Source organism: Homo sapiens, chromosome 12 (genome assembly GCF_000001405.40).
Source record: "Homo sapiens chromosome 12, GRCh38.p14 Primary Assembly".
NCBI lineage: Eukaryota > Metazoa > Chordata > Mammalia > Primates > Hominidae > Homo > Homo sapiens.
The window spans coordinates 73,423,676-73,437,384 of NC_000012.12; positions in this window are offsets into that span (position 1 = coordinate 73,423,676).

Below are 13,709 nucleotides of genomic sequence, written 5' to 3' on the forward strand. Positions count from 1 at the left end.
ACACTATGGGGAAAACTCCTTCCATGATTCAATTGTCTCCCACCAGGTCCCTCTCACAACATGTGAGAATAGTGGCAGCTACAATTCAAGCTGGGATTTGGATGGGGACACAGACAAGACATATCATTTTGCCCCTGGCCCCTCCCAAATTTCGTATCTTTACATTTCAAAACCAATCATGCCTTCCCAACAGTCCCCCCAAAGTCTTAACTCATTTCAGCATTAATGCAAAAGTCCACAGTCCAAAGCCTCATCTGAGACAAGGCAAGTCTCTTCCACCTATGAGCCTGTAAAATCAAAAGCAAGTTAGCTACCTGGAAGATACAATGGTAGTACAGGCATTAGGTAGATACACCTGCTCCAAATGGGAGAAATTGGCCAAAATGAAGGGACTACAGGCCCCATGCAAGTCCATAATATAGTGGGGCAGTCAAATCTTAAGGCTGCAAAATGATCCCCTTTGACTCTGTGTCTCATATCCAGGGCATGCTGATGCAAGAGGTGGGTTCCCATGGTATTGGGCAGCTTTGCTCCTTTGGCTTGGCAGGTTGCAGCCTCCCTCCTGGCCACTTTCATGGGCTGGCATTGAGTGTCTACAACTTTTCCAGGTGCACAGTGCAAGCTGTCAGTGAAGCTACCATTCTGGATTCTGGAGGACAGTGGCCCTTTTCTCTCAGCTCCACTAGGCCATGCCCCAGTAGGGACTCTGTGTGGGGGCTCCAACCCCACATTTCCCTTCTGCACTGCCCTAGCAGACATTCTCCATAAGGGCCCTGCCCCTGCAGCAAATTTTGCCTGGACATTCAGACATTTTCATACATCCTCTGAAATATAGGCAAAGGTTCCCAAACCTCAATTTTTGACTTCTGTGCACTCACAGGCTCAACACCATGTGGAAGCTGCCAAGGTTTGGGGCTTGCCCCCTCTGAGACCATGGTTTGAGCCCTTTGAGCCATGGTTAGAGTGGCTGGACACCATAGGCTGCTCACAGCAGGCAGCCCCGGGTCTGGCCCACAAAACCATTTTTTCCTCCTAGGCCTCTGGGCCTGTGACGGAAAAGCCTGCCACAAAGGTCTCTGCCATGCTCTGGAGACATTTTCCCTATTGTCTTGGAAATTAACTTTTGGCACCTCATTACTTATGCAAGTATCTGCACATGGCTTGAATTTCTCTTCAGAAAATGGGATTTTCTTTTCTATCACATTGTCAGGCTGCAAATTTTCTGAACTTTATGCTCTGCATCCCTTATAAATCTGAATGTTTTTAACAGCACTCAAGTCACCTCTTGAATGCTTTGTTGCTTAGAATTTTCTTCTGCAGATACCCTAAATCATCTCTCTCAAGGTCAAAGTTCCACAAATCTCTAGGGCAGGGGCAAAATGCTACTAGTCTCTTTGCTGAAACATAACAAGAGTCACCTTTGCTCCAGTTCTCAACAAGTTCCTCATCTCCATCTGAGACCAACTCAGCCTAGTTCATTGTCCATACCATCAGCATTTTGGTTAAAGTCATTCAACAATTCTCTAGGGCGTTCCAAACTGTACATTTTCCTGTCTTCTGAGCCCTCCAAACTGTTCCAACCTCTGTCTGTTACCCAGTTCCCCAGTCACTTTCCCAATTTTGGGTATCTTTTAAGCAGCGCCCCAGTCTACTGGTACCAGTTTACTGTATTAGTCCATTTTCACACTGCTGATAAAGACGTACCAGAAACTGGGTAATTTTATATATTAAAAAAATTTAATGGACTCACAGCTCCATGGCTGGAGAGGCTTCACAATCAAGGCAGATGATGAAAGGCATGTCTTTCATGGTGCCGGACAAGAGAGAATGAGAGCCAAGTAAAAGGGCTTCCCCCTTATTAAAACATCAGATCTCGTGAGACTTATTCACTATCATGAGAACTGTATGGGGAAACTGCTCTGATGATTCAATTATATCCAGCTGGGTCCCTTCCATAACAAGTAGGAATTGTGGCAGCTACAACTCAAGATGAGATTTGGGTGAGGACACAGCCAAACCATATCACCCTGCATATTTAATACTATACCTGACACCCATTAAACCCTAAATACCTAACCTTTGAATAAATTAATAAAAAGTATAAATTATTAAGAACTGTAATGGAACAATGTTCAATGACCAGTTAAAGACATTGATTTTTTTAAACACTATTGCTGGGTTTGGTTCTTTTTAAAATTTATTTTGTCTATTTTAATTTTATTTTTATTTCACTAGGCAGTATGTTTGAGGCCATTCCTTATTATACTAATATTTATTAATCTAGTAGAGCACTATTTATCAATTTGTAAAATAAAATTCAGTCAAAGATTTTAGAGGCCATATTGATATTTTCAGAGTATCTTAGCTTGAGCTACTATAACAAATTACCATAAGCTGGGTGATTTATACAATAAACTTTTATTTCTCACAGTTATGGAGGCTGTAATGTTTAAGGTCAGGGTGCCCACCAATTCACTTCTGGGGAGGGCACTCTTCCTGCATTGTAGATGGCTGTCTTTTTGTAGTCTCACATGGTGGAAAGAGAGAGAGAAATCATCTCTCTGATATCTCTTTGTAAAAGGGCACCAATTCCATTAATGAGGGCTCGACTTTCATGACCTAATTAACTCCCAAAGTCCTCTCCCTCCAAATATCAACACATTGGGGATTTATACTCTTGCATATGAATTTTGGGGGTACACATTCAATCCATAGCAGAGAGGCAAAGGGAGATTGAACTTGTGTTGAACAAAATATAAAAGAAATGAGAAAATATGGCTTTAAGGAAGGTCTGGAAGCATAAAATAATATGTTTTCTGAATTTAATTTCAGAAAATATTTCTAATGTATTCAAAGACAAGCAAATGAAGTGTACAAACAATAAAAAATTTGGTCAATTTAAAATGCAACCAGTGAGCTGTTGGTATCTAACATATTTCTGACTCCTTTTTGGTACCATCCTAGAGCTGATTTTGAGAAAGCAACTTGGTACAGTACACATAAGTTTATATATATTACATAATGTTTGTAGTAAACTGTGTTAGAGCACGGAAGTAGAGGTTGAATGCAAAATGAAAGTAATTATTTTATGTTCACCCTTAGGTTTGAATACAAGTTATTTTGTTCACTTTTCTCTATGGCCCATATATTTGAACGTAATGAGCACTATAAAATACATCCATTCTTAAGGACCAGTTCAATAGGGGATAATTTTCTGAGAACTTCAGCCAAAGGGAGTTCTTAAATACAAAGTGATATATTGGTTTATGAAATCTGAGAGTTTCGTGGGTTTTTAGATACCCAAATTGTTTCTAAGGAACTAAAATTGTCTTTTCAATGAACTACTTTATTGACTTGATCTTCATAACTTATTAGACTTATTTTCCTTGAGAGAAAAAAGAAAGAGCTTGCTCACACATTTTTCTCTTCTCAGATTTAACAGCTCTAATTAGGCTAATAATCTCTCTTTATGGGAATTGCAAAGAAAATGGGGACAATGCAACTCCAAAGAAGTATTATTAAAATGTCAGCCTCAAAAAAAGCCATGTATTTTAAAGCATTCAGTTTGCTCGTTTCAGCATTACTTCCTCATATCTATCTTACTAATAGAACTGTCTTTTTGGTGCTTATTTATATCCTTATAATAGAAGAAATATATCTATATCTAATGTGTTATTTTGTAGACTTACTATTTTAAATTAAAATTTAACTAACTAATGAATGGCAGATAGGTATACTTGCCAAAAGCAACGTTACATAGGTATAGTATCTTGAATTTATTATTATTTTTGTTTTTGTTACCTGAGAGTTTACAACAGAGATCTAAAAATGGAATGTGTCAAGAAAAATAAATAAATAATGTGCATTCTTGAAGAGCTTAATATAGGCATGAATCAGAAATATAAAAGACCATTATAACGAAATACTGTAGCAGGAAATTATACCAGTTGTTATGTAACTATGGTCATTATAACATCAGGTTTGAGAAAAACTTCATCTAGGTGGGGAAAAAAAGATAGTGAAGTTTGTTGAAAGAAATGGCACTCTTTCAGAATGAGAAGAAAACAATTTCATATTTTTTGAGTATGTGAATGAAAGAAAGGAAACATAAAAGTAGTGATCACATTTTATATAGAAGAGAGAGACAGTATTAGGTTTCATAAGGAAGATTGATTTGAATTAATCAGATAACAATGTCTATGTAGATGAAACAGTATATATTGTGTCAAATTTGGCTTTATAATTTAATTAGTGTTAATTATTAATATATCTTCCTTCATATTAGTGCATATTTATTTTATTAGTATAGTTGGAAAATTTGTAAGAAATATCAATTAGCAAAAAAGAACTTTCTTTTAAAAGAAAACATCTTGCAGAAAAGGGACTACTTTTATACTGAGCAGCAGAAAGAATCATGTTTTTGTAAGAAAGGTTTTGTTATTTTACTGGAGAAAATTATTATATTTTTATAACATATCTATTAGCATTTTGGCTTTAGCTAAATATGACAATAAATGAAAAAATGAATCTAAATAAAAGAAAATGGCAACTTAAGCTTTGTTAAATTCCAAAGTAAATATAAAATTAGTATTCATTCAGACTTTTGAGATATCTTGGTTTTTTGGTCTGCCATTCAAAAAATTCAATGAAGTGCCTGAAACTAATGTCCTACATGACATCTTATTATTGATGTTTTTAAAATATCTTTCTAGATGTATGAGTTGAACTATAAGCCAGCTAAATTATCTTTTACATCATAAATCTGTAATGATGAGTGTGTTACAGGCAGAAAGAAGTATATATTATATCTAATATTATATGACCCAAAATGGTAAGTCTCAGAGCTAATGCATTTAAAAAAAGTTGATAATCTAAACTGTAAAGAATCCTTAGAATGTGTACATAAGCAAAATGAACCCATTATGATATAATTATATTTATATTAATGTTATTGTTTGCTTACATTCATAAATTCCTGAAAATTTGTTTTTTAATTAATTAGGATATATTTATACTATAATGATGTGTTAATATAAAATAAAGTATAACATTAGTTACTTAGAAACACTTCTATTAACAGTGCAGAACTCTAGGGTATAAATATATATGATCCGTGAAACTTCCATTAGTTAAACATTTATTCTAATTATTTTAAGATGGATGTTTCTTGAAAGGTTGAAGTTTTTCAGCTTCAATGTTTGAAGACACTAATGGAACAAATTCAGAGGTAACTTTGAGTAGAAATTTCACCTTAGTCCTTTGACACAGCAACCACTGTATGTTTTCTCATGGAAAGCACATTTAAATAAGAATGTATTGGAAGAGACTAACCAATCAAGTTGAATGGAATGGGTTACATATTGAATTTCACTTCTGATTGATAATTTACTCACTGTTTGCTAAGTAGGTAATTCCCTTCTTTGTTGTTACATTAATTAATTTCCTTTTATAAAATTTACCAAATAACCTCCTCAAAGTAAACCTGAATTTTTTCAAATAGCTTATTTTTTCTTTGTAAAAAAATAAATGCACATAATGTCAACACCAAGGTAGCAAATGGCATGCAATGAAAAGTAAATCTTTCTTTCACTTACTTTACCTCATTTATTTGTCTCCCTTACTGGATGAAATCATTGTCACTTGTCTATATTTTCAAAGATATACTTTGTATATACATATAATTCTTAGTTTTCATTGTTTTGTCTTGTTTTGAAACCAATACTAGACCACAAATCTCACTAATTTTCATTTTAAGTGATTTTTGGAAATTATTCATATCTATCTAAAAAAGTTTTATTATTTTAATTACTTGAATATTCAATATTTAAATATTATATCGTATGGATATAATACCTCATCTAATCAGTAATTTGTTCTACTTAAAGTACATATTCTTAATTCTATCATCCATTTTTAGTTTTTTTTTAATTGAGGCATACTTTAAGTACAACAAACTATCTGTGATTTTTTGACAGAAGTATATTATCATTTCTATTTTTGTCCTCCGTGTGAGTGTGTGCACACACACGCACATGCATGTGTTGCTTTTAATGATTTGGAAAGTTAAATTTTCAGTATTATGTAATTCCAGTTACAACTGCTTCATAATGAATTACCTAAAAATTAGTGACATAAAACAACCATTTTATTTTACTTAGAGTTTCTGTAGGTCAGGAATTTGAGCCGAATAGACCAGAATGACATCTTTTTGTGCTGCATTGTTTTCTGTGGGAACACTCTATGGTAGAGTAGAAACATTTTGAGGTGCCCATACCCACATCTGGAGATTGATGTAGGTTGCTGGCTGAGACCCCAGTTCTACCTGTGGACTAAGGCAACTACTTACTCATCATTTCATCTTCTGGTTAAAGCATTGGGCCTAATACATATTATAAACCTAATAAATATTTCTTGAACTGTTGATATATGACATCTAATTACCTAGTTTATAAATGAAAACATTGATTATATTTATCCTTTGAAAATAATCTATGTTTCATTATATTAAATTGATGATTATGTCATAAAGATTTTTTGATTAATGGATTTCATTTTCACCTGCATTTTCAGTGAGGAATCATTACAAATCATTCAGTTATAAAAATCAGTCCAGGGCTCTAGCTACATAATGATCAGCTATTTTTGTTTGCTTAGGTATATAGTTGGATTTTCCAGTGTTGTCATAAAGATATCAGTGTTATATTATGCAATAAATATTCATCAAAAACAGTATGAATTTAATCCATTTTTCAGCTCTTTCTGAGTAACACAAAAGAAAATTCTAATATAAAAGACCCTGTTCTCAAGAAGCACAAAGCAAGGTAAGAAAAAAGGAGGGTACTCCTTTAAAACATTTTGTTTTGTTTTTAATTTAAAAAATGTAATACAGGCAAAATTACAAATCATCTACCATCCTAACAGCTACATATAACCACAACAAATGTTTTATAATATAATCTCCCAGGTATTTTCCCCCTGTAATAATGTAGGAAAAAATAGTAGAGTGTATTATAGCATAGTTTTGGAATCAACAGAAATAGTTGAGAAAATTAATCTATTTAAACCTCAATGTTTACATGTTCAAAATAGGGGGGAAATATTACCTACTATACAAAGAAATTAGCACAATGTTTCAGTCATAAAAAACACTGTAAAATAGTTGTTGGTATTCTCAGGCTAGACCCTCATTCAGAGTTCAAACACTATAATTAGTTTAATATTCCTCTGTTAGAAATTTTATATTTTTCCCATGTTTTGTTTTCCTGGGTATTTTGTGTTGGTTTTGTGGGGAGGGTTTCTTTTTACAAGTAATGCTGACATGAACATCTTCAAATTATTTTTTACAGCTACACTTATAAATAGTCAAACAGATCTTTACAATAAAATCTGGAAGAAAAATGATTGAATAAGATACTTTTTAATTAATTAGGTTTCAAAAATATTCTTGCATTTGTTATAGATTACCCTGTGTTTTCTTTGTTTATTGTTTTGATTTATTTAGTTCATGGGCCTTTTAAAAGATATTTTATTTATTTTTATATAAGTTTATTTCATTATTATTCTCTTTGATAGGACTATGTGTAAGAGTTTTGATTCTGTCATCATATAATGTCAATTTATATTGTTAACTATTCAAGTTTGTTGAAGATCAGATAGTTGTAGGTGTGTGGTCTTATTTCTGGGTTCTCTAATCTGTTCCATTGGTCTATGTGTTTGTTCTTGTACCAGTGCTATGTTGATTTGGTTACTGTAGATCTGTAGTATAGCTTGAAGTTCAGTAGTGAAATGCCTCCAGCCTTGTCCTTTTGGCTTAGGATTACCTTGGCTATTTGGGCTCTTTTTTGGTTCCATTTGAATTTTAACATAGTTCTTTCTAGTTCTGTGAAGAATGTCAATGGTAGTTTAATGGGAATAGCATGCAATCTATAAATTGCTTTGAGCAGTATTGCCATTTTAACAATATTGATTCTTCCTCTCTGTGAATATAGAATGTTTTCCCATTTGTGTCATCTCTGATTTATTTGAGCAGTGGTTTGTAGTTCTCCTTGTGGAAATCTTTCAAGACCCTAGTTAGCCTGGATTCCTAGTTGTTCTTTTTGTGGCAATTGTGGATGGGAGTTCATTCCTGATTTGGCTCTTGGCTTGACTGTTGTTGGTGTATAGAAATGCTAGTGATTTTTGCAGATTGATTTTGTATCTTGAGACTTTGTTGAAGTGCTTATCAGCTTAAGAAATTTTGGGCTGAGAGTATGGAGTTTGCTTTTTTTTTTTTTTTCCAGAGACGGAGTCTCACTCTGTCACCCAGGCTGGAGTGCAGTGGTGTGATCTTGGCTCACTGCAACCTCCGCCTCCTGGGTTCAAGCAATTCTCCTGCCTCAGCCTCCCGAGTAGCTGGGATTACAGGCACATGCGACCACACCCAGCTAATTTTTGTATTTTTAGTAGAGACAGGGTTTCACCATGTTGGCCAGGCTGGTCTTGAACTCCTGACCTCAGGTGATCCACCCGCCTCAGCCTCCCAAAGTAGTGGGATTACAGATGTGAGCCACCTTGCCCAGCCTAGAATATGGAGTTTTCTAGATACAGGATCATGTCATCTGCAAACAGGGATAGTTTGACTTTTTCTCTTTCTATTTGAATGCTCATTATTTCTTTCTCTTGCCTGATTGCCCTGGCCAGAACTTCTAATAATATGTTGAATATGAGTGGTGAGAAAGGGCATCCTTGTCTTATGCCAGTTTTCAAGGGGAATGCTTCCAGCTTTTTCCCATTCAGTATGATGTTGGCTGTGGGTTTATCATATACAGCTTTTATTATTTTGAGGTATGTTAATTCAATACCTAGTTTATTAGGAGTTTTTAATGTGAAGGAATGTTTACTTTGGTTGAAAGATTTTTCTGCATCTATTGAGATAATCATGTGGTTTTTGTCTTTAGTTCTGTTTATGTGATGAATCACATTTATTGATTCGCATATGTTGAACCAGCTTTGCATCCCAGGAATGAAGCCCACTTGATCATTCGCGGTGGATAAGCTTTTTGATGTGCTGCTGGATTCGGGTTGCCAGTATTGTGTTGAGGATTTTTGTATTGATGTTCGTCAAGGGTATTGGCCTGAAGTTTACTCTTTTTGTTGTATCTCTGCTGGGTTTTGGTATCAGAATGATGTTGACTTCATAGAATGAGTTAGGGAAGGAATTCTTCCTCTTCAATTTTTTGGAATAGTTTCAGTAGGAATGGTACCAGCTCTTCTTTATACATCTGGTAGAATTCAGCTGTGAATCTGACTGGTCTTGGGCTTTATTTTTATGGTAGGTTGATATAGTTTGGCTATGTCCCCGCCCAAATCTCATCTTGAATCATAATTCTCATGTGTTATTGGAGGGATTCTGTGGGAGGTAAATGAATCTTGGGGGTGGGTTTTTCCCATGCTATTCTTATGATAGTTAACAAATCTCACGAGATCTGATGGTTCTATGAAGGGACGTTTCCCTGCACATGCTCTCTTGCCTGCTGCCACGTAAGACCCTTTGTTCCTCCTTCACCTTCCACCTAGATTGTGAGGCCTCTCCAGCCATGTGGAACTGTGAGGTCATTAGACCTCTTTTTCTTTATAAATTACCCAGTCTCAGGTATGTCTTTATTAGCAGCATGAGAACAGACTAATACAGTAAATTGGTACCAGTAGAGTGGGGTGCTGCTGTGTAGATACCCAAAAATGTGGAAGCGACTTTGGAACTAGGTAACAGGCAGAGGTTGGAATAGTTTGGAGGGCTCAGAAAAAGACAGAAAATTGTGGGAAAGTTTGGGACTTCCTAGAGACTTGGAGGGTTCAGAACACAGGAAGATGTGTGGGAAAGTTTAGAACTTCCTGGAGACTTGTTGAATGGCTTTGAAAAAATGCTGATAGTAATATGGACTATAAAGTCCAAGGTAAGGTTATCTCAGATGAAGATAAAGAACTTGTTAAGAACTGAAACAAAGGTGACTCTTGCTATGCCTTAGCAAAGAGACTGGTGGCATTTTGCCCCTGTCCTAGAGGTCTGTGGAACTTTGAACTTAAGAGTGATGATTTAGGGTATTTTGTGTAAGAAATTTCTAAGTGGCAAAGCATTCAAGTGGAAGCAGAGCATCAAAATTTGGAAAATTTGCAGCCTAACAATGCAATAGAAAAGAAAACCCCATTTTGGGGGAAAAATTCAAGCCAAGCCAGATGCACAAATTTGCATAAGTAATGAGGAGCCAAATGTTAATCACCAGGACAATGGGAAAAATGGGAAAATGTCTCCAGGGCATGTCAGAGACCTTCACAGGAGCCCCTCCCATTACAGGCCCAGAGGTATAGGAGAAAAAATGGTTTCCTGGACCTGGCTCAGGGCCCCCCTGCTCTGTGTAGCCTAGGGACTTGCTGCCCAGCATTCCAGAAGCTTCAGCTGTGGCTAAAAGGGGCCAAGGCACAGTTCAGGCCATGGCTCCAAAGGGTAAAAGCCCCAAGCCTTGGGAACTTCCATGTGGTGTTAAGCCTCTGGGTACACAGAAGTCAAGAATTGAGATTTGGGAACCTCCACCTAGATTTCAGAGGATGTATGGAAATGCTTGGATGTCCAGGCAGAAGTTTGCTGCAGGGGAGGGATTCTCATGGAGCACCTCTGCTAGGACAGTGCAGAAGGGAAATGTGGGGTTAGAGCCCCCACACAGAGTTCCCACTGTGACACTGCCTAGTGAAGCTTTGAGAAGAGGGCCACTGTCTTCCAGACCCCAGAATCAACAAATAACAGCTTGTACTGCACACCTAGAAAAGCCACAGACACTTAATGCCAGCTGGTGAAAGCAGCTGAGTCACAGGAGCAGAGCTGCTTGCAGCCCACGTGGCTGGAGAAGCCTCACAATCATGGCAGAGGGCAAGGAGGAACAAGTCACATCTTATGCTGATGGTGGCAGGCAAAGAGAGGAGTGCTTGTGCAGGGAAACTCCCCTTTTTAAAACCATCAGATCTCATGAGACTCAATCACTATTTTAAGAACAGCGCAGGAATGGCCCGCCCCCATAATTCAATCACCTCCCACTGGGTTCTTCCCACAACAAGTTGGAAATGTGGGAGTTACAATTCAAGATTAGATTTGGGTGGGGACATAGATAAACCATATCATTCATATTTGCAAATTTATTTTTTATTTTCTTTTCCTTTTAAATATATTTTTCTTGTGCATTGGTATTATTAATACCAATATTTGCAAAACATGTAGCTTTAAAGTGGTTTTCTGTACTTCTAACAAAACTTCTTCCTAAGATGGTTGGTAACCCTTGATTGTCAATTAAAATTTATTTGTGAGATCTGTGACTGATTTGGGGGACACTATCGACTTTGGACTACTGCAGATCCCTCTAAAATCATCATGTAATGAATGTTTCATAAATTATAACTGTTCTTTGTTGTAGGTCCAATGCTTACAATGTCTGCCAAAGAATTGTTATTGGTATTTGTTCTCAATGAAACAATTCATCCTGGCTCTCTCACTTGGTCCCAACTGTGACTTTTAAGATCAGGTTTTTAGATCATGGGTATTTTTTTAAATTATTGTTGTTTTTTGTTTTTGTTGTTGTTTCCACTGGGCATATGTGGTAGAGAAAGGGTATACATGGTGGTCTTTGCAAATTGTCCATATATTCCTAAGTGCCCAGAAATACATTCAAAATATTTAAATCTATTTCTAGTTATTTTGAAAAGATGAGTGGGAGTCCTCCAGAAAATCCAGTCTACTGTGATCCTGAAAACATGCTTTGCTCTACTTGCTAAATTATATAATTCCACCCTTTGACCAGAACACCACATTTGTCCAAAAATTCCAATCCCATGTTAAAACCTAAGTTATGTTATCTCATTAAGGTTTATATTCATTTGATGCCTCCCTACTTCTCCAGACTTTCTTTCAAGGCTTCTTTTTGGCCTTGCTTCATTTTCTACAAGTCAAAACTAAATAAAAAATAATTTTAGTCAATCTCTCAGGACTGTGTGTAGAATTTCTTCAAAATTTCCAACTTTTATCAAATATTCTTAGACTCTTTGTAATTCTTCAGCTGTAAATCAATCCAGTCATTTATATTGTTTTTCTCTTCCAATAAGTTACTGCTCCAGTGAAGAAAATATTACATACCCTTTGACTGTCTTTATTTTTTAAAATGTCATTTAATATTATTTTGGTTCTCAGAATGCTTATCAATTCTTTACTCATTTCCAGGTGATTCCATTCCCTTAAATTTTGGTTGGAAGGTAATTCCAAAAGACTCTACTACTTATTCTACTTTTGGCTTTATAAACAAATGTAACTTACTTCAGTTAAAAAAAAATTAACTTTTAAAGGTAAATTATGTTACCATTCTTTCTTTCAAATTAATTTGTATTTTAATTACATTTATTTTTTTTCTCATTAGCATAAAATTATCCAAGGTAATTTTCTCTACCTATTTATTCATTACTTAAGCAAAAAAATTGGAATCTTGATGTACTTATGAAGTATATTAGATATTTGAATACAAAGATGTATAAGACAAAGTGGCCACAATTGCTGAAGACAGTCATGTAAATTAAACTCAGACATTCATGAGACTGTATAAGTGGTAAAGTTAAAAAGTGCCATAAAGCTTAGGGAGATAAATTCAAAAATGTGTAACAAGCGGGAAGAAAGAAAACTTTCAAATGCAATATTGGTTTTGAAAAGTTGCCTAAAGTTTCATTAGGGTGAAAGGAGTAAGATAGATATTCAAAACATAGAAAAAGAATCTGCAAAGGTACTGATATCTGAGAAATAATTGCATGGTTAAAGAGCTGATTACAGTTAGGTATAATTAGCTAAGGAACTACAAGAGGAAGTAGTAGTAAGAAAAAAACTTATCTCATTTTGCTTTATGTATATTTTAAATATGTTGATCTCTATTCCATAGCATGATTCAGGGCACTTATCCATCACCTACTGTTTACCATTTATTCTAGTTCCAGATTAATTATTAAGAAGTGTTCAATACATGCTTTATTGATGAAAAATAACTGTTATCATCTGATTTAGACACAAATGGCTGTACTTTAAAAACTAACAAAATTAAAATTTAAAATTCATGTATGTGTGTCCACACACTATTAAAATATATGTTACTTTTAAAAGGGAGGGACTCTATCATATGGCAATCCTTTCATTCATCACCTCAGAAGGTGCAAGTCAAAGTCTCGAAAAAAATACATGACACCAGACTTGAAAATGCCAATGCAATTATTGATAAAGCAAGAAAACCCATTTCCTATAAAAGCATATGTTTGTATATAAGTGAAATTGGGCTGAAAGTAGATACGAAAGAATATCCAAGACATCATAGGTAGCAGAGGAATAGAGCACAGGAGGAAGAGAAAATGTAGAAGTAGTGGAGATTGTCAGTGTGATAGAGCGAGTGGAAGAAGATGCTACACATTGGTCTGACAATATATACACAGTCAATGCCCTACAAAAAAGTTTTTTAAGTAAAATATTTTAAATATTTTATGAACATACAAAGTGGAATGACATCCCATAAGACTACATTTTGAGTATGATGAACAAGTAGGCCGTCAGTGACAACCAAAAGTGGAAGAAAATATTAAATATATTGTGGGGAAATGAATTTTCCCCAATATAAGTGCTTTCTAAATATTTTCAATTATTTTACCATTTTGAATTGTGG